The 24,156-nt window shown below is 45.9% G+C and overlaps 1 protein-coding gene and 1 long non-coding RNA gene across 62 annotated transcripts in view, besides 7 other annotated features; one reads left to right on the top strand and one right to left on the bottom strand.

The window, feature by feature from the left end:
• The window catches only part of DDX11-AS1 (DDX11 antisense RNA 1), a 53,085-nt gene extending 37,575 nt beyond the window's left edge, over positions 1 to 15,510 (bottom strand). The window contains exons 1-2 of the long non-coding RNA NR_038927.2: positions 14,858 to 15,510; positions 2,323 to 2,433 (exon numbers count right to left, since the gene is read on the bottom strand). This is a non-coding gene — a long non-coding RNA (DDX11 antisense RNA 1). The remainder of the gene's footprint in view (positions 1 to 2,322; positions 2,434 to 14,857) is intronic.
• Positions 7,978 to 8,272: a silencer, noted in NCBI's record as "tiled region #7044; K562 Repressive DNase unmatched - State 5:Enh". NCBI's record gives its function as "represses a minimal TATA promoter and a strong SV40 promoter by Sharpr-MPRA in K562 cells {active_cell/tissue: K562}" and the evidence as "EXISTENCE:reporter gene assay evidence [ECO:0000049][PMID:27701403]".
• Positions 15,174 to 15,705: an enhancer, noted in NCBI's record as "H3K27ac hESC enhancer chr12:31226445-31226976 (GRCh37/hg19 assembly coordinates)". NCBI's record gives its function as "activates a minimal SCP1, AML or CMV promoter by ChIP-STARR-seq in naive and primed H9 embryonic stem cells {active_cell/tissue: H9 hESC(naive and primed)}" and the evidence as "EXISTENCE:reporter gene assay evidence [ECO:0000049][PMID:30033119]".
• Positions 15,523 to 24,156, top strand: part of DDX11 (DEAD/H-box helicase 11) — a 30,940-nt gene continuing 22,306 nt past the window's right edge. For 21 of the 61 annotated variants that reach the window (XR_001748610.3, XR_007063056.1, XR_007063057.1 and 18 more), the window contains exons 1-2: positions 19,883 to 19,951; positions 20,053 to 20,200. Coding sequence is in view for 48 of the 61 variants with exons in the window: in XM_017018928.3 (XP_016874417.2) it covers positions 19,917 to 19,951; positions 20,053 to 20,200 (183 nt within the window). In the remaining 13 variants the exon portion in view is untranslated. Of the gene's footprint in view, positions 15,755 to 15,927; positions 16,208 to 19,607; positions 19,952 to 20,052; positions 20,201 to 24,156 lie in introns of those variants that run through there. The other 40 variants (NR_182203.1, NR_182202.1, NR_182200.1 and 37 more) reach the window with 12 other exon arrangements.
• Positions 15,578 to 15,687: an enhancer, noted in NCBI's record as "active region_6162". NCBI's record gives its function as "activates an Ori minimal core promoter by ATAC-STARR-seq in GM12878 lymphoblastoid cells {active_cell/tissue: GM12878}" and the evidence as "EXISTENCE:reporter gene assay evidence [ECO:0000049][PMID:35858748]".
• Positions 16,218 to 16,377: an enhancer, noted in NCBI's record as "active region_6163". NCBI's record gives its function as "activates an Ori minimal core promoter by ATAC-STARR-seq in GM12878 lymphoblastoid cells {active_cell/tissue: GM12878}" and the evidence as "EXISTENCE:reporter gene assay evidence [ECO:0000049][PMID:35858748]".
• Positions 16,218 to 16,767: a biological region, named in NCBI's record as "H3K27ac hESC enhancer GRCh37_chr12:31227509-31228038".
• Positions 16,238 to 16,767: an enhancer, noted in NCBI's record as "H3K27ac hESC enhancer chr12:31227509-31228038 (GRCh37/hg19 assembly coordinates)". NCBI's record gives its function as "activates a minimal SCP1, AML or CMV promoter by ChIP-STARR-seq in naive H9 embryonic stem cells {active_cell/tissue: H9 hESC(naive)}" and the evidence as "EXISTENCE:reporter gene assay evidence [ECO:0000049][PMID:30033119]".
• Positions 21,713 to 22,269: an enhancer, noted in NCBI's record as "OCT4-NANOG-H3K27ac-H3K4me1 hESC enhancer chr12:31232984-31233540 (GRCh37/hg19 assembly coordinates)". NCBI's record gives its function as "activates a minimal SCP1, AML or CMV promoter by ChIP-STARR-seq in naive H9 embryonic stem cells {active_cell/tissue: H9 hESC(naive)}" and the evidence as "EXISTENCE:reporter gene assay evidence [ECO:0000049][PMID:30033119]".

A 24,156-nucleotide genomic window follows, 5' to 3' on the forward strand; every position in this document is an offset into this window, starting at 1 on the left:
CACTGCTTCTAAATTGTATGCACTATTGGATAAAACTGGAACAGTACATGGCCAGGCACAGTGGCTCATGCCTGTAATCCCAGCACTCTGGGAGGCCAAGGCAGGCGGATCACGAGGTCAGGAGATCGAGACCATCCTGGCTAACACAGTGAAACCCTGTTTCTACTAAAAATACAAAAAAAAAATGAGCCGGGCATGATGGCGGGTGCCTGTAGTCCCAGCTACTCGGGAGGCTGAGGTAAAAGAATGGCGTGAACCCAGGAGGCAGAGCTTGCAGTGAGCAGAGATCACGCCACTGCACTCCAGCCTGGGCAACAGAGAGAGACTCTGAATCAAAAAAAAAAAAAAAACCAAAAAAACAAAAAACTATAACAGTACTGACTCCATGTTAGAGAAAAGCTTGTTTGCTTGAATACAGTTATTGCTTTTCCTGAGACTGTAGATTATTCATTAAAAACAGCCTCAGAAATACAGGATCTTCAGCAGACATAAAAGAAAAAACACTGACAAACAACTCTGGGAATGGGCTAAGTGGCTTGATAAGAATAGCCTGATGGTACCTGCAGAAGGTCATACAACATTGACCAAGAAAACAGTGATTGCCTGCCTGCCTGCCTGAGACTTCACATGTTTCATAAGAATGCTCTGATCAGCCAGGTACAGTGGTTCAGACTGGTATTCCTAGCACTTCACGAAGCTGAGGTAGGAGGATTGCTGGAGGCCAGGAGGATGAAACCAGCCTGTGCAGAAAAGCGAGACCCTGCCTATACACAAACAAAAATAATAATAATAATAAATAATAATAATAGCTAGGTATGGTGGTGCATGCCTGTCATCTTATCTACTCAGGAGGATCACTTGAGTCCAGGAGGTCAAGGCTGCACTGAGCCAAGATAACATCACTGCACTCCAGCCTGGGTGACAAAGTGAGACCCTGTGTCTAAAAAGAGAGAGAGAAAAAAAGCTAAGGCTATTTTCAGGTTAGGTCAGGCTTAGTAACAAAAACTTTTTGTGAAATGCTTCGATCATTGTTTGCCCTGCTCCTAATTTCCCTTAAAACCTCCCGGATCAGACAGGTGGTCTTTGAAGATGAGTTCACAGCCTCCCTCGAGTTTTTGGCTTCCTGAATGTAGCTAACTTTCCCTTTCACCAACATTTGTCTCTAGACTTTTGGCTTTCAAGCAACAAGTGGCCTAGATCTGGGTTTGGTTACAAATTTTGGCAAGCCCAGCCAGAAGCCGTGTGCTCTGGGCTGTTTGCACCCTGTCAGCTCCCAACAGACAAAGCAATTGGTCACAGCTTCATACCAGGACTAACTCATCCATATTGTTGGGAGGACTTCTTGGTTCCCAAGAGGTGGAGCAATTGATGGCGGCAGCAGGTCAGGGCTAACTCATTCACATTACCAGAGGTTAGCGGCAAATGCTCTGTGGCACTGGCTACTCATGGCAGAAGGGAACTGCAGAGACAGCCCCAAAGTCTGCCAAAGAGAGGCTGCCAAAACTCTTTCTACTTCAGGGAAACTTCCTCCTTTCCCCCATTCAGTACTGACTGCCTACTTTTGCTTTTAGTTGGTGAAAGGAAACTAGCTTTATTTTTTTTATTTTAATTTTTTTTGAGATGGAGTCTCGCTCTGTCACCCAAGCTGGTGTGCAGGGGCGCAATCTCGGCTCACTGCAAGCTCTGCCTCCTGGGTTCATGCCATTCTCCTGCCTCAGCATCCTAGGAGTAGCTGGGACTACAGGCGCCCGCCACCATGCCCGGCTAATTTTTGTATTTTCAGTAGAGACGGGGTTTCACCTTGTTAGCCAGGATGGTCTCCATCTCCTGACCTCGTGATCCGCCCGCCTTGGCCTCCCAAAGTGCTGGGAAACTAGCTTTTTGGATGAGCTGATGAGCTGTACAACCAGGTAAGTCTACTGGGGTGCAAAGTAGTAGTCCACTTTCTTTACCATTTGGGCCTTTGGACCATTTGTGGTACCACTGGTAGAAGAAATGACTCATAGTGACTCCATACCAGTCTCTTCCTTTGTGAAAGCCTGGGTTGGAAAAGTGCTTCATTTGTTTTGGTTGTGTTTTGTTTGTGTCCACCATGGGAAGTTTTTTTCATCAGTCCCCTCTCAGAGCCCACTGTGGTTCATATTGGCTGACTGGTAAGCCTACAGTGATAACCCTACGACAAAAAAGATAATCTACTGCAATAAGGTGTGGTCAATGTACGTGATACATGAGGAAGATAGGTGGCCATTACATGGTTCTTTGAATTTAATGTTATACAGCTTGAACATTTCAATCTGAGATCAGGAAATTGGGACTGCATACCTTATATTCAAGCTTTTATGTTGGTACATAATAAGCACGCTTCCCAGAAAGGTTGCTGGCTGATGGTGCAAACAGGACCATATCAGGTAAAATCTCCTCACTCTCCATTACCTGAGGAGGAAAAGAAGGAGATAGGATAATCTTGTCAACTATAAACCCTCCACAGGCAAATGATGCTGAGGCTTTGCAGGTGCCTGTCCCATTGCAGCCTGCTCTGGCACCTGTGCAGGCTCCCATGGAGGCCCCAGCTGCAGTACCAGCACAGTACCCTGAGTTGCCCCATCTCTGCCCCCTCCACCAGAGGATTATCCAGATAATACAGACTTACAGGGTGTGGTGGCCCCTCCTCATTTTAAAGGTAGCCAAGAAATAGGCTCCCCTTTTAAGACCTGACAAGGCAACTAAATTTGACCACAGCGTACACCCTCATGCGGCAGAACAATTTCTGTTATGCAAATTCCCCGCTGGAGGATTAAATGCACAGGGCCATACTCCTGGGCTATTTTGGTTATTCACCATTTTCTATCTTTGACTAAGTAAATGGAAAAATATTCAAGTCCATCCTATAGGGATGATCCATAGGAGATGACTGAAATATTCACCAGTATTTTTTCTATTCATCATTCCACAATAGCAGGTGTACAAGCATTATTAAATTTTATGATGAAAGGGGGTTATTTTTAGACAAGACTAATGATGGAGCCAGAAGGCTATACCAGGAAGACCCTGCTGGGTCCTCCAACATCCCAGAGGCAATTTCCTTAGTGAAACGCAAATGAAACCTTAATAATGAGGTTATATCTTGACTGTAGGATTACTCCTAAGAAAGGGAGTACCTAAGCAGCAAAGCCTCAATAAAAAACATCCATGACCTCTGGTAGGAGGCCAGTGAAAACCCAGCAGCTTGGTTGAAACAAGTGTAACAGGCTTACAGAAAATATTCAGATATTGATCCAGAGGCTCTGGAACATGTTTGGGTCATAAATATAACTTTCATCAGCCAAAGTGCTTCTGACATTAACAGAAAATTAGAAAAGCAGGAAGGGACTGTTGGAATGAACCCTTCCCAGTTTACAGATATTGCTTACAAAGACTTCAATGCTAGAGAAACAAGAAAAGCTAGACAGGCAACCATTTTCATGGAGACTGTTCAAAAAGGTGGAAGAATGAGGGGTGAAATAGAAAGGAATCCCTAGACAAGGACCAGTGTGCCTACAGTGGGGAAATCTGGACATGAGAAGTATGCCCCCCTAAGCTACAGAGAAAAGATGGTAATAAAAAAGACAAGGGAGAGGAAAAGGGAAATATACGCCAAAGAAGGAGATGGTGGAGCAGGATTGTGACTCTGATGAAGACTGATGGGGCACAGGGACTCCGCCTGATTTAACAGAGCAACAGTAATTTCCCTACAGGAGCCCTGGGTACAAGCGACAGTGGGGAACAAAATGACTGGCTTATTGGTTGATACTGTAGCAATGTTTCCAGCCAAGGCTGGAGTCACTGGGAAGTTACAACAGAGACTCTTTCTTAAGCCCTAAGAATATAAATTGAGGGATATAAGATTGAGGTATAGCTTTCTGTATATGCCACATTGCCCTATTCCATTGTTGGGCCAAGATTTGTTATGTAAATTAAATGCCCAAGTCACTTTTGCTCCTGAGAAACAACATCTAAGAATCCAGGTATCACCCAAACATGTCCTATGCCTACAGGCACTGGTGATTCAGCCAGAGAAAAGAACTCAAGAACCATTCCTGCTGGAAGTCTACAACAGAGGGAGTTGCACTGTTTGGGAAGACAAGGGAACCTGAACTAGCAGTCAAAGCTCAGCCTGTGCACGTTGAATTTAAAAAAGCATTAATTCCACATAAAAACAACACTGCTTAAAAGGTAAAGAATTAGAAGTCATACAGGGGGATTACACAGGTTTCTAAAGCACAGACTTATTCAATCATGACAGTCTCAATACAATACCACTATCTTGCCAGTGAAGAAACCAAACTCCAATTAGTATCAATTTGTGCAAATTTGAGAGCTATTAATGACATCGTTCAAGATACCCACCCAATCGTGGCTAACCCATATACCCCACTTACAGCTACCCCAGGGGATTATGGCTGGTTCTCAGCATAGGAATTAAAGGATGCTTTTGTTCAGTGTCTACTAATTGAGGAGAAAGCCCAGTTGTTTTTGCACTTGAATGGCAAGATCTGGAGACTAGGGCAAACTTCCAAAACTGCTAGACTGTACTGCCCAAATATTTAAGTATTCCTTTACCATTTTTGAAAAAAATCTTACTAAAAGATTTGAGAAGCTTGCAATTAAACAGGGGAATACTATTACAATGCATGGGTAATTTACTCATTGCTAGCCCCACTTATGAAGACTGTTTATACCAGTTTTTGTTTGATTGTTTTGAAACAAGGTCTCACTCTGCCACCCATGCTAGAGTGCAGTGGTGTGATCATGGGTCACTGCAGCCTTGCCCTCCTAGGCTCAAGCGAGCTTCCCACCTTAGCCTCCCAAGTAGCTGGGACTGCATGTGTGTGCCACTGCACATGGCTAATTTTTAAAATTTATTTGTTGTAGAGATGGAGTCTCACAGTGTTGTCCAGGCTGGCCTTGAACTTTTGTGCTTAAGCGATCCTTCAACTGTGGCCTCCCAAAGTGTCTGGATTACAGGCGTGAGCCACCGCACCTGGCCAATACTAGTTTTAAACAGCCTGGTGGAATTGGATCATAAAGTATCTCTTTGCAAATATGCAAAGAGCAGGTAGTCTATTCAGGGGTTTGCCTGCAATAAGGTAAGCAGAGTCTGATGCCTGACAGGTAACAAGCAATAGCCACTATCAAGGCTCTCAAAAATCAGATAACTAAAAGGAGTCTTAGGTATAGTTGGCTTTTGTCACCTTTGATCCCTAATTTTGGTCTCCTAGTAAAGGACTTATCTGAGGCATTTAAAATGTCAGAGTCAGAACCTTTATATTAGACAGTGGAATGCCAACAGTCATTCAATAACATTAAAGAAAAACTAAGGAAATTCTTTATGGGCCCCCAAGATGTTTACCCTAAGATAGTTACGTTGAATTTCACCCTGACCATGTAAATTGATGGCTTATCTTCACAGGCATGGAACAAGAGACATAAGTCATCCCTCTTCTCACCTGAGACAAATGCATATCTGATTGCTCCCCCTGCCTGTTTATCTTATGTAAAAATGCAGGTTCATTGAACTAGATGAATGTTTAAGTGACTGTTCCCCTACCCTCTTACATGTGAAGGCTAATCAAAGACTCAAAAGAATGCAACTGCTTGCCTCTTATCTACCCATACCCTTTTAAAAATGTATCTTCCTCTTTCAATACCTGGCCTTTTCCCTTTAAATATTGGGATCCCAAGACCCTCTTTGGAAAAAGCATGAAACACAATGTTTCCTGTGGATCTACGTTCTTTCCTGGACATGTCCTCAACCTCAGCAAATAAACCTAAAATGATCAGGACTCACCTTGGTCATTTTTCTTTAGTTTACATTTCCTAAGCTACAGACCTGTGCAGCACATGACTATACTGAATACTGTGGGCAACTTCAACATGATGGTATCTGTGTCTCCAAATGTCTCAACAAAGAAAAGGTACAGTAAACATATGGTTTGAAAGATAAAAGTGGTATGCCTCTAAAGGGCACTAAAGGGCACTATAGCATTATAGTATTTATATGTCTTTGTCCAGGGTTCCTGGCTCATAACTTCTATGGCCCTCATTATAGTCTTGTTATAGTGCTGGGACACTTTAGGCTCAGAAAACAGACTCTCTCTGTCTCTGACTTTCTCCTGCCCTCCTTTCACCTGCCCAAGGCAGGACTCTGCACATCATAAGATCCTCATTCCAGAGAGGGTCCTGCCCATCCTTAGGAGGTGGGAATGCTGCACAGAGAGGCCAAGAATCTGGATAAGCCTTGGTGGGTTTTCCCATCTCAGACAACTAGTGTTAGATCATCCCTTCTGGTCCAGTTGTATTTGTACATGGTTGTCAATCATGTCTACCCAATGATGTCTCCATTGAAGGCTCAAGAGGACAGGGCTCAGGGAGCTTCTGGAAAGCTGAACACGTGGAGGCTGACAAAACTCTTCCCTATGCCAGGAGGGTGGCCACACCCCAACTCCACAGAAGCTCCTGGGTTAGGGACCCCTCCAGACTCACCCCATGTATCTCTTCATCTGGCTGTTTATTTGTATCATGTAAAATACCCTTTGTAATAAACCAGTAAACATAAGTGTTTCCCTGAGTTGTGTGAGCACTCTAGCAAATTAATCAAACACAAAGAAGAGGTCATAGGAACCCCAACTTGAAGCTGGTGGGTCAGATGTTCTACAGACCTGGACTTGCTATCTTGGGAAGGAGGGGACAGTCTTGGGAGAATGAGCCTACAACCTGTGGGATCTGATGCTATCTCCAGGTAGGCGGTGTCACAATTGAACTGGAGGACACCTAGCTGGTGTCCCCTCCAGAACTGCTTGTTTGCTTGGTGTGTGGGGAGAAATTCCCCTGTATGTCGTCATAGAAGTCTTCCATGTTGATGGTTGCTGTGGTGTGAGAGCAGAAGAAAAACACATTGGAGGTGGTTTTTCCACACACAGGCACTTACTATGAATGGAGCTTGCAGGACTGGAAGTTGCTCTGGGTGAGTCAGGGAGTGTGTGTTGCGTGCAGGTGAAAGCCTAGGACATTACTGCACACTGTTGTGGACTTTATAAACAGTGGACACTTAGGCTACACTAAATTTGTTAAAATATTGTTCTTTCTTCAGTAAATTAACCTTAGGTTTCTGTATCTCTTTCACTTTATAAACGTTTTAATTTTTTAAACTTTTTGACTCTTGTAATAACGCTTAATTTAAAACACAACTGTACAGCTTTTCTTTATAAGCTTTTTTCTATTTAAAAAAATTTCTTTTAAACTTTTCTGTTAAAAATTAAGACACAAACACACACATTAGCTCAGGCCTAAACAGGGTCAGGATCATCAATATCACTGTCTTCCACGTGTTGTCCCACTGGAAGGTCTTCAGGGGCAGTAACGCGTATGAAGCTGCCGCGTCTTATGGTAACAATGCTTCCTTCTGGGATATTTCCTGAAGGATCTTGGCTGAATCTGCTTTTCAGTCAGCTTCGTTTTTGGAAAGCAGAGGCCGGGCATGGTGGCTCACACCTGTAATCCCCGTACTTTGGGAGGACAAGGTAGAAGGATCACATATAGCCAGGAGTTCAAGACAAGTTTAGACAACAGAGCAAGAACCTGTCTCTACAAAAAGTAAAGATAAAAAAAATTAGTCGGGTGTGATAGTGTGCATCTGTTGTCCAGCTACTTGGGGGACTGAGGTGAGAGGATGGCATGAGCCCAGTTCAACACTTTAGTGAGCTATGATTATGCCGCTGCAGTCCAGCCTAGGCAACAGAGCGAGACTCTGTCTCAAAAACAGAACAAAACTAGAAAGAGTACACTCTAAAATAATAATAAAAGTATTGTAAACACATAAACCAGTAACAGTCATTTATGATCATTATCAAGTATTGTGTACTGTATGTAACTCTCCAAGCTATACTCTTATACACTGGCAACTCAGGTTTGCTTATACCAGGACCACCACAAACATGTGAGTCATGCGTTGTGCTACCATGTTATGATAGTTACTATGCCACTAGGTCACAGAAATTGCTCAGCTCTGTTATAATCTATGGAACCACCTTCCTATATGCAGTCTGTTGTTGGCTGAAATATCGTTATGCAGCCCGTGACTGTGCATTGGCATTTGTCCACTTGGTCTTCAGCCTAGCTTTGTACTTTGTCTTTGACATTTTGGCTTCCACTGCAATTTACTTCAGGCTTGGACTCCTTGAGGATCTCTCCAAACCTGCCATGGTCTGTTTCTTGCCACCAGTCCCTAGCTGCACATTCTTAGGGCAGCTGCCCCAGCTTAGTCTGATTTATGGGGCCCCTTATCTCGTAACTTTTAGAATCTTGACCAAGTCAGGCTACCCGGCAGGAGGAAATGTCAAAGGCAGAGGCAAAAGTGGCCCTCTCACTTTATCTGTATCTCCAGGGTCTTCCTTTGCATGGTCTCCTTTCCTTCCACCCTCAAGTCCATTCCTCTCCTGTTTCTCTCCGCCCCTCCAGGTTTCCTCCTTTAACCGCATCACCTAGAGTCATCTTCACCGTGCAAAGTGGTTTTGTTCAAACTAATGTATTAACACTCAACTCAGTGCAGTTGCCCTTTGAATGATCACACCCAGGAGACTTTTTTCTAATTAGTGTTCACCTTGACTGTACTATATTTCAGTGTTGATCATTTTGTCCTTTGGCTCAGATAGCTGTAAACTGCCTTCTATTTCACTGATTCATCATTCTCTCATCTTCCTTTCCCATCTTCAAATGTGGATATTTCCTAAAGGTCATTCTCTGTTCCTCATTTTTTTTCAAAAACTTTTAATAAAATATACATAATCAAATGTACCTTAACCCTGTTCAAATGTACACTTCATTCATGTTGAACATACTGGCATTGTTGTGCGACCAGTCTCCAGAACTTTTCCTCTTGCAAAACTGAAATTCTTACACCCGTAAAACAACTCCCTATTTGCCCTTCCCCCAGCCCCTGACAATCACTCTTCTACTTTCTGTCTCTATGAATCTGACTACTCTAACAACCTCATGTAAGTAGAATAATACAGTATTTGTCTTTTGACTGGCTTTTTCACTGAGTATAATGTGATGGTTAATTTTATGTGTCAACTTGGCTGAGCCACCGTACCCATACATTTGGCCAACATTATTCTGGGTGTTTCTGTGAAGGTGTTTTTTGGATGAGATTAACATTTAAATCAATGGACTCTAAGTAAAGCAGATTACCCTCCGTAATGTGGGTGGACCTCATCCAATTAGGTGAAGACCTTACTAGAACAAAGACTGACTTCCCCTGAACAAGGAGTTGTGCCAGCAGACTGCCTTTGGCCTTGAACCATAACTCTTCCCTAGGTCTCCAGCCTGCCAGCCAATACAATCAGATTTTCACTCACCAGTCCTCCACAACTGCATGAGCTAATTCTTTAAGCCTCTTTTTCGCTCTGTGTAGACACACACACACACACACACACACACACACACACCCTGCTGGTTGTTTCTCTGGAGAACCCTAATACAAATAATAGCCTCAGGGCTCATCCATGTCGTAGCATGTGTCAGAACTTCCTTCCAAGACTGAATCATATTCCATTGTATGTATATACCACACTTTATGCACTTATCTGTCAATAGACACTTGGGTTGCTTCTACCTTTTGGCTGTTGCAAATAATGTTGTTATAAACACAGGTGTGCAAAAATGTCAAGACACTGCTTTTACTTCTGTTGTTTACAAACCCAGATGTGAAATTGTTGGATCATATGGTAATTCTATTTTTAATTTTTTTCCATAGTGACTACCCCATTTTACATTCCCACCAGCCATGTACAAAAGTTCTAATTTCTCTATATCCTTGCCATCATTTATTTTTTGTTTTGCTCCTTTTGGGTTGAGGTTTTTTCTTTCTTCTTTTTTTTTGAGACAGGGTCTTGCTCTGTCACCCAGGCTGGAGTGCAGTGGTGCAATTATAGCTCACTACAGCCTTGAACTCCCGGGCTCACACAATCCTCCTACCTCAGCCTTTTGGGTAGCTGGGACTACAGGTGTGTGCCACGATTCCCCCCTAATATTTTTTTAAATTTTTTGCAGAGATCTGGTCTCACTATGTTACACAGGATGGTCTTGAACACCTGCCCTCAAGTTATCCTCTCGCTTCAGCTTCCCAAAGTGCTGGAATTGCAAGCATAAGCCACTGTGCCTGGCTGTGTGTGTGTGTGTGTGTGTGTGTGTAATAGTAGCCATCCCCATGGATTGCAGTGGTACCTCATCGTGGCTTTGAGTTGCATTTTCCCAGTGACTGGGATGTCGAGCATCTTTTCATGTGCCTGTGGGCCATTTGCACATCTTTTACGGAGAAATATCTATTTAAGTATTTTGCCAATTTTTTTAATCAGATTGTTTTCATGTTGCTGAGATATAGAAGTTCTTTATATATTCTGGTTATTAACCCCTTATCAGATAGATGATTTACAAATACTTGCTCCCATTCTGTAGGTTGCCTTTTCACTCTGTTGATCCTGCCCTTCAATGCACAGAAGTTGTAACTTTTGTTGTTGTCCAATTCATCTATTTTTATGTTATTTTACAAATCCCTCAACTCATCACCAATTTTTTTTGTTGCCTGTGCTTTTTGGTGTCATAGCCAAGGAATCATTGCCAAATGCAATGTCATAAAGCTTTTCCCCTCTGTTTTCTTCTACCAGTTTTATAGTTTTATAGCTTTTAACTTTAATTTTTAATTTTAACTTCATTTTAACTTTAGAAAATCCATCTTAAGTTAATTTGGATATATTGTATAAGACAAGGATCCTACTTCATTCTTTTATATGTGGATACCTCCTTCCTTTTGGAAACTTTTCCTTTCAGTAATCTTACTACCTCCACAGCTTTAGTTTAGATGTTTTTTGTTGTTGTTGTTGTTTCCCAGGGGTGATCAAATCCATATATCCAGCTTTTACCACCTTCCTGAGTTCTAGTCCCCCCATTTTCAAACACCACTGAAAATTTAGTTTGACTAAGTACATCAACCTATTATGTGAAGAAACACCATGTCCCACCCCCACTACGGTGTGGCTTAATGAGCTAAAGTAATATATCAAGATAGACATAATAATCCAAGAAACTGGGGTTCAGAGAAGTAAATATTATTAGGGTGCATCTTGCGCTGTTCCAGAGTGAGGCATATAGGGTTTTGGGGACAGAACAATCTAGTCTCTGATAATGTTTTCTCTTATAGCACAGGCACATTTCATGAGCCTTTCCCACTACCTAGGTGTTCCAGTTTGGATGTGGTTTGTTTGGCCTAAGTCTCATGTTGAAATCTGATTTCCAGTGTTGGAGGTGGCGTCTGGTGGGCAATGTTTGGACCATGGGGGTACATCCCTCATGAAAGGCTTGCTGCCCTTATGGCAGAAGTGACTCAGTTCTCACTCTTAGTTCCCAAGAGAATTGCTTGTTGAAAACAAACTTGTACCTCCTACATGCTCTCCTTCTAGAAGAGGATCTAAGGAAATTTATAATAAAAGCAGAGGAACGCTGAAACCAAACCCAATTCATATCAGTAATAGCTACCATTTGTTAAGCTTCCACAATGACAAGTAAGATGTTAAGCCCTTTATGTTACCAGGATTATCTCATTTATCTCATAAGAATTCTAGAACATAGGTCCTATTATTATCTTTATTTTATTCGTGAGAAAAGCAGAGACTCAGAAGGCTTAAGTCATAGGCCAAGGTCATCCAGCCAGTTGAATGGTGGAGTGGGGAATATCTGGATCCAGGCAGTCAGACTGTTTTTTTTTGTTTTTTTTTTTTTGAGACGGAGTCTCGCTCTGTCACCCAGGCTGGAGTGCAGTGCCGTGATCTCGGCTCACTGCAAGCTCCGCCTCCCAGGTTCACGCCATTCTCCTGCCTCAGCCTCCCAAGTAGCTGGGACTACAGGCGCCCACCACCACGCCCGGCTAATTTTTTTTTTTTTTGTATTTTTAGTAGAGACGGGGTTTCACCATGTTAGCCAGGATGGTCTCGATCTCCAGACCTCGTGATCTGCCCACCAGGCAGTCAGACTTTATTAGAACATGCACTTAAAATTAGCAAGAAGGAATGAGAACAACAACAACAAAATTAAAAAATGCTTGCCAAAGAAAACTAAAACAATGTGCAATATTTAGCCCTGAGATCACTAGCAGTGAAGGCAAAGAAGAATGCATAATGGGTTTCTACAGCTCTCACTGTCCGGTTATAGAAAATATTTCTACATTAGTACAAGCACTTTTCTTCCTAAGCCCTGAGTTTTGAGAGTTTATCAAGAAGGCCTCTGAGTTCATTCAATTAATGGCATCATCTAAGGCTGTTTAATAACAAATGCAGAGGTAGTCCACATAAGGAACTTTTGCCTTTACCTTTGAGACAAAGCCCAGGGCCTCACGTTAGGAGTACAGCTCTCTAAATATAAGCCTCCAGGGCAGAAGCGAGGGGAGGATGGAGGGACACAATGCAGATTTACAGCCTGGTGGGTACGGCCTTTGTCCTCTCCATGTCTATTGTCACTCTTGAGGTCCAAGCCTCTACTGCACTGCCTGGTTTACTGCACAACCCAACTTGGCTGCTTGCTTCTGGTCTCTCCCCACCAAACCATCCTTCACACTGCTTCCAGCTTAATATTTCCAAGACACTGCATTTGCAAATCCACTCCTCTGTTTAAAAATGTTTCAGTGACTTGCAACTTGTCTACAGTGTGAAGTATAAATTTATTAGCTTGTTGTTTAAAGCCTTCTACAACCAGACCCCGACCGACCTTCACGTCCTATTGAGAGGTGACAGCCTGCTGGCAGCCCTCGCAGCCCTGGCTCGCTCTTGGCGCCTCCTCGGCCTTGGCACCCACTCTGGCCGCGCTTGAGGAGCCCCTCAGCCCGCAGCTGCACTGTAGGAGCCCCTTTCTGGGCTGGCCAAGGCCGGAGCCAGCTCCCTCAGCTTGCAGGGAGGTGTGGAGGGAGAGGCGCAGGCGGGAACCGGGGCTGCGCTCGGCGCTTGCGGGCCAGCGCGAGTTCCCGGTGGGCGTGGGCTCGGCGGGCCCCGCAATCGGAGCAGCCGGCCCGCCAGCCCCGGGCAGTGAGGGGTTTAGTACCTGGGCCAGCAGCTGCCGTGCTCCATTTCTCGCCGGGCCTTAGCTGCCTCCCCGCGGGGCAGGGCTCGGGACCTGCAGCCCACCATGACTGAGCAGCCCGCCATGACTGAGCCGCCTGCCGGCGCCCCAGCCATGGGCTCCTACGCGGCCGGAGCCTCCCCGACGAGCGCCGCCCCCTAATCCGCGGTGCCCAGTCCCATCAACCCCCAAAGGGCTGAGGAGTGCCGGTGCACAGCGCGGGATTGGCAGGCAGCTCCACCTGCTGCCCGCTGCCGCATCCACTTGGTGAAGCCAGCTGAGTTCCTAAGTCTAGTGGGGACTTGGAGAACCTTTATGTCTAGCTAAGGGATTGTAAATACACCAATGGGCACTCTGTATCTAGCTCAAGGTTTGCAAACACACCAATCAGCACCCTGTGTCTAGCTCAGGGTTTGTGAATGAACCAATCGGCACTGTGTATCTAGTTAATCTGGTGGGGACTTGGAGAACCTTTGTCTAGCTAAGGGATTGTGAATGCACCAATCGGCACTCTGTATCTAGCTCAAAGTTTGTAAATGCACCAATCAGCACTCTGTGTCTAGCTCACGGTTTGTAAATACACCAATCGACACTGTGTATCTCGCTAATCTAGTGGTGACCTGGAGAACTTTTGTGTCTAGCTCAGGGATTATAAACGCACCAATCAGCACCCTGTCAAAACGGCTCAATCAGCTCTCTGTAAAACAGACCAATCAGCTCTCTCTAAAATGGACCAATCAGCAGGATGTGGGTGGGGCCAGAGAAGAGAATAAACACAGGCTGCCCTAAGACAGCAGCAGTAACTCACTAGGATTTTCTTACCACAGTATGGAAGCTTTGTTCTTTTTGTTTTTTAGGTCTGCACTGCCTTTATGAGCTGTAACACTCACTGCAAATGTCTGCAGCTTCACTCCTGAAGCTAGTGAGATACACGAACCCACCGGGGTGAACTAGCAACTCCAGTACATGCCGTCTTAAAAGCTGTAACACTCAGGCGAAGGTCTGCAGCTTCACTCCTGAGCCAGCAAGACCACAAACCCACCAGAAGGAAAAAACTCCAAACCCATCGGAACATCTGAGGGAACAAACTCCAGACACACCGCCTTTAAAAACTAACACCGCGAGGGTCTGCAGCTTCAGTCTTGCGTTAGTGAGACCAAGAACCCATCAATTCTGGACACACTATCAACTTTGTTTCTCCAAGGGTGCTTCTTAAACTGGATGATGCACACCCTAGGAGTGTGTGTGTAGGATGGGGTTTGAAGCAGTAGGGTAAAAAACCTAGCATACATTCTATTCCAGAGGTGTCAATTTACCAGACAACAGTTATTTTAAAACTTTTTTATGCAAAAACATGTTATAGGGTGGAATGCAACATTTTTATGGGCCTGTGGGCCATTTGTATACATCTTTGGAGAAATGGCTATTTAAGTACTCTGCCCATTAATTCTAAACTTAAAACTAAGACTTCAAAGTCCCTCTAAGGATTTTGCTGGGCCACATCCCAAGACCCTGAAGGGTATTACTTACTCGCCCTCTCCAAACTGCCGAAGTCGGAAGCAGGTGACAAAAAAGCTGACCCTGGAATCACCTTTTGTAAATTTCCCACCTCCAAGCTTTTCGATAGTTTGTAACACTGGCTCCTCTCCCCAAAAGCCTTTCCTTCAAGTCCCAGCAACTCTCCCTGACCCTGCTGGGAAGGCGCACCAATTACCTGTCATTCCAGGAAAGCTCATAGCATAAGATGATCCCATTGGTCATCTCCCAGAACCAGACTTTCTGAAAAGTCCTCAAGGACCAGCTAGTCCAATCCCTCACTGAATAAAGGAGAAGCAAAGTCTAGGGAGGTGAGGTGATTCGTTGTCCTCCTAATTAGCAGGTGAGCTCCTGGCAGGGCTGGGGTTTCATCTTCTGGGCTCTCTGCAAGGTCGTGCCCGGCACGGGCCAGGAACAATTTCATAAACTCGTCATCTAGACGGCCTTTGACTGACACCATCTCTCCGTGTGGAGGAGCCGCTGGGGTGCACGGGGCAGGTGTCGTCCGTTTCAAAGGTAAAATAACCCAGCTGCAGACCTCCAGAGGCCGACTAGAGCCGGGGTCAGAAAACAGGTTTTCCCTCTCGGGGACAGCGCCCAGGGGACCGGCATTAGAACATCGGCTGATGTTTCATCTGGTCAGGGAACCATCCAGCGCTTAGTACACCTGGCGCTAATCGGCGGGGATTAATCTCACACCCCGCAGCTGGCGGAAAGCAGCGGGAGGAGGCACCTAGCCCTGGGGTTGAGATCCCAGTTCCCGCGTGCGCAAACCACGCCCCTGTAGATTCTCGCTGCTGCGTGTTCGCGCGCGTCCCGGAGTGCGCATGCGCAGCGGCGGGGGTTGTTCCGGCTGCCTTTCACTGAGGGGACCCGCCAGTTTCTAACTCAGTGGCGTTTGCCCTGATTCCCGGGGCCTGGCTTTCAGCGTAGCAATTCTGCCGGCGAAGAAGGTGAGCGCAGTGCTGTGTGGCAGCAGAGCTCCTTAGGACGAGGAGCAGCGGGACGAGGAAGGGCAGACTGGTGAAATCGCAAACTGGGCGTCTGTTCCGGCGCCGGACCCCTATTTGCAAAGGTGGGTGGCCCGTCCGGAGCGGGAAAACATTCCGGAAGTGGAGGGCCGGGCCAGCGTGATTGACAAGCGGGAACCCCTGTGTGGGGACGGGTAGGCCTAGGAAGGTTGTGCCTGCGGTGGAACTGGGCGGTGCGCAGAAGTGGGCATTAACAGCAGCCGCGTGTCTGGGTCTTAGATTTGGCCCAGCTGTGTTGAGCTTTTCATGGATTATCTTACGTAGATAAGACACTGCAACAGTGAGTGAGCGCTTGTAACCCACCTGTCTCTTACGGAAACTGAGCCCCAGCGATGCTAACTTTAGCAAGGATACAGCTGGGATCCTAAACTTGGCAATCAGAGCCCAGAGCCGATAAAGTTAGCTGCATGAGTCTAGCTTCCCCCAGGGCGGGAATCGAGGCGGAGCAGGGTACAGTACGGAGGCCAGGAATGAGTGCACTTGACCAGATTGTTGACGGAAGTGTCATAAAAATGGACTTAAATGCTGATAAGCAGCTGTTTGGGTTCCACACAGGGTGCGAGCTCAGGATGCACGTTGGAGGGGACACAGGGCCAGAGCAAGGTGGGAATGCGGGTATTATGGGCCAGGCCATCCTCCAGCTGGTGGAGCACCGCAGTACTGCAGTGTGTGGCCCTGGCTTAACAGCAGTGCGGAAAAGCTTTTTTCTTGGGGCTGTGGTGCTTTCCAGGTGTGTGAAGTTAAAACATTTTAGGGCCATACGGTAGATAGTACCTGCCACATAGTTGTCTTGGTCAGCCCCGGCTGCCATGACAAAATACCATAAACTGGGTGGCTTAGACACAGAAATGTGTTTTCTCACAGTCCCAGAGGCTTGGGATGTCCAAGATCAATGTGGGGAGGACACAACTGAGCCCACAACAATAGTCTGTACTCAGTAATGAGTGATAATTGGGGACTGAAGAAAATGAACACGTTAAGAACTAATATGTTCCTGAAGTGCTTTCACAACTCTAACCTCGTTTTATGAGCGTGAGCTTTGCTGTCCTGGTGTGTGCCTTGGCACTGGGAGGTGATGGTTGTCCTCCACACAGCCAACCTGAAGAGGGCTGAACAAGTCACTGCAAATGTTTTTAATAGGGCTTAGTGAATCCGTTATACTCAGATTTATCTAAACCTCTATGATTTAGCCTGTGCTGCTTCTGGAATAATGAGATCCATAATTACCACTGATGGGGAAGTGAAATAATACTTACGTTTCTTCTGTATTGTTTAGTGTTGTCATTCTAGAGTTTGGTAACCAAGTCTGTCTTTTTTATCCCACTTATCCTGGTGGGAGGAAAAGTGAGGAGATAGAAAGTTTCAGGTGGCTTGGGGGTCTGGCAGATGTGGTTCAAATCCTGAGTTCAAGCACTTGCTGAGTGACCTTGGGCAAGTCATATAAGTTTACTGAGTCTCAGTTTCTTTCTCTATAAAATAGAGCTTATAAAAATACCACACAGGGTTTTTGTGGGGTTATCTGAAAACGGTTTGAAACCATTAAAGAACTGGCCATTTAACTAATAGGTATTCAAGTCATGGGACCTCCGTTACCCAGCCTCGGAAGAGAAACCTTCACTTACAGCCCCGATGTCTGGCTGGCTACTCATTCGTTCATCAGATTTTTGTTGAATGCCTATGAGGTGTCGAAGCACCTAGTTCTGAGTCCTGGAGCCAGAGAAGAGCAAGACAGACAAGGTTCCTCTATTTATGGAACGTATATTCCAGTGAGGAAGAATAAATAGGTTCAGATGGTGCTAAGAGCTATGAATAAATTAAATACAGAGTAATGTGATTTTTTAAAAGTGACTTAGAGCAAGCTAGGGGGTGAGGAGTGGGGGTGGTGTTTGACCACTGTCCAGCGGCCAGACAGCCGGAGAGGCTTCTCTGAGGAGGTGAGCCAAAGCCTGGATATTGAGGAGGACTCCTTCTCCAGGCCAAGGGGAGCAGCAAGTGCAAGGCCCGAGCTGAGTAGATGAGGCTGGGAGCCTGACCAGTCTCAGGCTGACCAGTGCTCTGTCTTGAGAGGAGCTGCTGGTCAGCTTTTTGTCTTGGGATTCAGAACGAGGAGACATGAAGACTTTTTACTTGGCAGTGGGAGCTGAAGCTGAAAGGTCCAGGGGCTGATGAGGCCACGTGTAAGCGAAAGTTTGGGATAAGCAGAAACCGAGTGCGCTGAGGGAGTGAGATTGTGGCTGTATCCGGCACCTGGCTGAGCAGGAGAGTGAACCCCGTGGGTGTGTGTTTGCTGGTGACGTTCCTGGAGCTGTCTTGAAGTCCGAGCTGCCTTGCAGCTTGTAGTCTGCCTCTGTTTTTGGCTTTCCCAGATAGTTTCAATTCTTACTCTCAGTTTGTGAACCTCCCTTCAGTGAACCTCCCTTCACTTATGCTGGATATCTCTTGCAACCGGATGAGCTTCACTAAAGCAGAGTCATTTGGACCTGGATTCGAATCCCTGGTTTTCCACTTTTTAGCTGTGACTTTGAGCAATTATTTAATTTCTGTAAGCATCAGTATCCAGTAGCTGTATCCTTATAGTGTTGTACAGATTAAATGAGATAATAAAAGCAAAAGACCACTGTAGAGTGTTTAACACATAGGAGGTACTCAAAAATTTGTTAGGTACCTTTCTTCCCCTTTCCTTCATGTGTTAAAGCTTTTTCAGTACATACCCCTCTCTCAGGATTGAATTGTAAATCATGTTTTTTGATTACCCTTCTTGTAATAATTCCTCTACCTCTGTAGTCATGTTTTTCTTTTTTCATTTTTTCTTGTCCCCAGAATGTCTAACAAAACAGCCAAATATACCTCTGTGAAGACAGAGGGTAAAATAATGCTAGTTCTGTGAGTTCTCTCTTCTTGTGCAAATCCATAAACTGCCACCAATCTGTAGTCATTTTAATTGCCCCTAAACCGAAGAGCATCGTGGCAACTACCTTTCCCCTCGTAAATAGAGTGACACTATCACTAGTCTTATTGAGGCCAAAGTTATAAAGATGGGCTCTCGATCTACTAATATTAGTAAAATGGGTTTGGGACTTACTAACATTTGTGCTTAGAAGAGACAGACCTGGCAAAGAGCTTGGAGAAGTGAGTTCCAAAGAGAGAGGTGTGGGAACCAGGATGGAAGAGTCAGGCCTCCAGATAGCGTTTACTTCTCCTTTCTTCCTTGAATCACTGTCTCAGAGATAATTAGGTTCAGGAGAGGAGAAAAAAAAAGATGACGTCAACGTGGAGCAGAGTTTTTCTTAGACCTTAGCCTAGCAAGGAAAGAGAAATGCCTGGTCTCAGTACTGGGAAGCTGTTCCAGCCAGAGCCCCGTGGCTGTGAAGAGAGCTCTCCTGTCTGGAACCAAACAGAAAGCTCATAGGTCTAGAGGCCAGAAAAGTTAGTAGGTGGTGGCTCTGTTCGGTGCTGGAAATGGAGGCCAGGATGAACTAAGAAGCAAACTAAAGATACTTGTAAGATAAGGACGTGTAGGCCGGGTGCGGTGGCTCACGCCTGTAATCCCAGCACTTCGGGAGGCCAAGGCGGGCGGATCACGAGGTCAGGAGATCGAGACCATCCTGGCTAACACGGTGAAACCCCGTCTCTACCAAAAAAAAAAATTAGCTGGGCGTGGTGGCGGGCACCTGTAGTCCCAGCTACTCGGGAGGCTGAGGCAGGAGAATGGTGTGAACCCGGGAGGCGGAGCGTGCAGTGAGCCGAGATTGCGCCACTGCACTCCAGCCTGGGCGACAGAGTGAGACTCTGTCTCGAAAAAAAAAAAAAAAAAGATAGGGACGTGTATGTTAACTTGCGCTATCCAAACAACAAGCTGTGCTTATGGTCCTCTGCCTGTGCGTCATGATTTTCCAGGACTTCACAACGGGATAAAGTGAAGTAGCTTCGGCTTGTGAATGTGCATTGCAGAGACGTGGGAGAAGAAAGCTGCAAAAGTCATTATAAGCAACACCCTTGATCTTAGGGGTGCTGGTCTGTGAGAAGAGAGCTCTAAGCCTTTTGTAGAGGCATTAGAAAGGTATCGGAGCCACGGTGAAATGCAGGGGAGATTGGGTTTAGGGGCTTTCCTGGTCTGCATTCTGCTACAGCCGTTAAATGCCGCTAGATGGAGTGCGTGATTCTGGTATGGCCTCACGTGGACCTGCTGCGAAGGATGGAGAGAACATGGTCTCTGCTTCCCAGAAAAAAGGAGAAATTTGGTAATAAGTGTGGAGACTGCTCTTAAATAATGCTCCAGATTTCAAGCCACTTCTTCCTGGACCATGAGAGAGCTCCCTAATGTTGTATTTATTTTTCCTAGGTCCATGGCTAATGAAACACAGAAGGTTGGTGCCATCCATTTTCCTTTTCCCTTCACACCCTATTCCATCCAGGAAGACTTCATGGCAGAGCTGTACCGGGTTTTGGAGGCTGGCAAGATTGGGATATTTGAGAGTCCAACTGGCACTGTGAGTATGAACAGTGAGAGATACTGAAAAGGACAACTTAACAGCAGCCGTACTAGCTTTTCCTGTTTGCCTATCCAGAGATTTTCATAGTTTGAAGTTGGGCAGAGTAGTCTCTGTTTATCTGAGTAATAGTCACTTCCTCTATTAAAGTCTTTTTTTTTTTTTTTTGAGACGGAGTCTCGCTGTGTCGCCCAGGCCAGAGTGCAGTGGGACGATCTCGGCTCACTGCAAGCTCCGCCTCCCGGGTTCACGCCATTCTCCTGCCTCAGCCTCTTGAGTTGCTGGGACTACAGGTGCCCGCCGCCACGCCCGGCTAATTTTTTGTAGTTTTAATAGAGACAGGGTTTCACCGTGTTAGCCAGGATGATCTCAGTCTTCTGACCTCGTGATCCGCCCGCTTCGGCCTCCCAAAGTGCTAGGATTACAGGCATGAGTCACCGTGCCCGGCCTAAAGTCTTAAACATAGCTCTGTGGTCTGAGAAAAATTAGGCTGAAGTCATTGGTGCCTACCTATTACGGTAGATGAGACGGCTTTCTTACCAACTCTTTTCCCTCCCGTTCCCCATCCTTCAAATATAATTCTAAGTTTTAGTCTCTGCTGAGTGAACCAGTGTGTTATGATTATGTTTTGAACATAATTTTGTCTTGAACAATATGTCTTAATATTCTGTTTTTTCTAGTTAATAATTGCCCTTTTAAAGTTAGTTTAGTTTTTAATATACCTATGCCAGTTCCTCCCACATCATCCAGTGGCCTCTCAATATGATTTTCCATACAGATAACTCCTGTCTTAGTCGGCCAGGACTGCCATAGTAAAATACCATAGACTGGGTGACTTAACAGGAATTTATTTTCTCACCATTCTGGAGGCTGGAAAGTTGAAGATCCAGATTCTGGCAGGGTTCTGGTTCTGGGGAGGGGGTCTCTTCCTGGCTTGCAGATGGCTGCGTTCTTACTGTGGAGCAAGAAAAGACGAGGAGGAGAAAAACAAATCTTTGGTGTCTCTTTCTCTTTTATGAGGACAAGGGCTGCTCCCTTATGGCTGCTCCGTTATGACCTCCTTTACCCTTGAAGGCCAGATCTGTAGTAGAGTCACATGGCGGGGTTAGGATTTCAACATATGTTTGTTTGTTAAGATGGGCAGTCTCACTATGTGGCCCAGGCTGGTCTCGAACTCAAGCGATCCTCCCCTCTCAGCCTCCCAAGTACCTGGTGGCTGGCAAGATCCAAGATTACTGGTGCACACCACCATACACAGCTTCTTTTGTTTTGTTTTTGTTCTTTAAAAACATTTTTTTAACATGCATTTTGGTGGGGATACAATTCAGTCCACAGCAGTGACCAATTCCATTTTTACCTTGGAGCCCTCCTGGAATCCTCCATCCTTTCCCTGTCATTTGAATTAGTTGCTCCTCAGACTGACTTGACAGATTTCAGCATGAGTGTTAATGGGGACAGACGGCCGCACCCACACCACATCAGGGTATACGTCCGTTTGGAGGCTTTCCTCAAACGTCTGGCAGCCCTGGACTGCCTGTGTATGCTGAAGAACAGGGCACAGAAAGGCTGAGTCTGCAGGGCACTGGCTGTGGCTGCCAGGCTGGGCTCCTTTGTTGGGGGCCTCCAGTTGCCAGCACATCTGTGGGATTTTCCCTAGAGTCTTCAGTCTCTCCAGAGCAGGTGCCTCTGAGCCCTGGCCCAGCAGGTACAGACGCTGAAGCCCAATAGCCGGTCTTCCGGGAGGTGGTCTGGGGAAGGGGATCCAGGTGGAGAGTCCCCCTCAGTGCCTGCTTTCAGCCTGGCCCTCCTCCCCCTCCCTCTTGCCTCCTCAATCTGCCGGTTGCCTCCAGGGCTCTCCTAGCTCAGCTTCCACTTAGAGCCCACTTCCTGTCTTCTGCAAGGAGCAGGAGCAGGGATTGCAACCTGAGAATCTAATTGTTCTTAAAAAGAATTTCAACCCGTCCCTTTGTTTTCAGTGGCCTGCTGTGTTCCTACCACTTCCTGAGTCTTTCTGAGAATGAGTGGGGGAGATCTCTGGGGACACTTGGGCTTGAGTGTCTCTGCCGAAATCACTTCCATGTCTCTGCCTTCTTTCCCTCTCTCCTAAAACATATTACTCCTTCCACTTTCTTTTTGTGGGTGTAAGCCTCCATATTACTTTGGTTAATTTTAGTGTGCTTTGGAACACAGATGAGTGCATGTTCATTCTGCCTTGTTTAATTTTAGAGACAGGGTGTTGCTCTGTTGCCCAGGGCCGAGTGCAGTGTTAAGATCATGGTTTACTGCAGCCTCAACCTTCTGGCAACAAGTGATCTTCCCACGTCAGCCTCCTGAGCAGCTGGGACTACAGGTGTGCACCATCACACCTAGCTAATTTTTTAATTTGTAGAAATGAGATCTCACTATGCTGCTCAGGCCGGTGGTCTTAAACCCCTAGGCTCAAGCAATCCTCCCTCCTTGGCCTCCCATAGTGCTGAGATTACAGGCATGAGCCACTGTACCTGACCCCTTTCACCTTGTTTAGCCTGACAACCCATCTTCTCCCTCTCAGGTCTTTCCATCTCAGTCTTCTGCACTCCAGGCTTCTGCGTCTTCTTCCTCTGCTCAGCCTTTAATTGTCGATGTTTCTGGTTCTATAGCTTCATCTTCTTGTGTGCAGTCTCTGTGAATGTACCCTGTGGCTTTATTACCTTTGACATTCTTCTGTCTTCTAAATCATCTCCTGAATAGAGTGTTTTCTCCTGTCCTGGGTGTCCCGCAGCCCATAGAAGCAGCCATGCTGTGGGACACCCTGAGTGGGGTTTGTGTTACCTGTTGTGCCTACCATGCCCTTCCCCGCCGTGGATGCACAGGTGCCCCACCTTAGCTGCCCCAGATGCTGTTTATCCTTGATAGTCACCTTTTAAGCCTTATACAGGTCTATCAAGTTGAGTCACCATTACCACTTGGTGTGTGCTGTGCCTTGTGTAATACTGCAGTTCCGGGAGTCATCCAACCTGGAATGCATGCTTTGCGGGGATCTATGATGCCCTCGAATTGTATGTTACATGTGAACCTGTGAGCATTTTCTAGGGGCTCTGCACCTTTGTGTCCTCAGCTCTGAGCCCCATGCTTGCTGCAACCAGCAGGTGTTCAGAGTGAATGAATTTGCTTATCTTGGCATAAATCATGTAACTGTTGATGATACCCCAGGAAGGTGAGCCTTTGGTTATAAATCCTTTTAACATTTTCCAGTCTAAAAGTTTTGTGGTCTTATTACACGATGTAGAAAACAGTGGGCCTCAGTTATTCTTTTGCTGTTGTGCCGGAGTATACCACGGTTGTTTTTGAAAGATAACTTTGACCATACCCTTAGGAACTTCCTCAGCTCACTTTCAAATGGAGGGCACTGGCTTTCTAACCATTGTGTCTCCCAGCCCAGTGACAGCTGAAGCTGACTGCTTCCGATATCACAGACAGCACAGAAGAGCCGCCCTCCAGGTGCTGCTGGGAAATGCTGCCTGGAACTCTTTGCCATTTACTTTCTATCAAAAGCTGAGGGAAATGGTACATATGGGGCTTTCCTAAAAATATGGGATCCATCCATTTGTCAACAATGTCATTCTATCCTATCCCAGGGCCTTTCAAGATTTTGATGAAAACTAATAGATCCCATATTCCAGAATAATGCTATTAATAATTTTATTATTATTACTTAATGATAGCAAAAAGTTAGCTAACTCCAACCGCTCACTTGTTATTTGCCAGGTAATCCTCTAATCCAGAGGATTTGGCCTTTTGTGTGTGTTAATGTCCTGCTTGCACCAGCTCTATGAGGAAGGTGCCGCTGTTGTCATTTCCATTTCTGCACTCGTGGAAACAAGCGTAGTGAGGCCAGCCTGAGCCACAGAGCTGCAGGTGGGGGAGACAGCTGGAACCCTGGCACCTGGCTGTGGAGTTTGAGACTCTGACTCCTG

Source organism: Homo sapiens, chromosome 12 (assembly GCF_000001405.40).
Source record: "Homo sapiens chromosome 12, GRCh38.p14 Primary Assembly".
Lineage (NCBI taxonomy): Eukaryota > Metazoa > Chordata > Mammalia > Primates > Hominidae > Homo > Homo sapiens.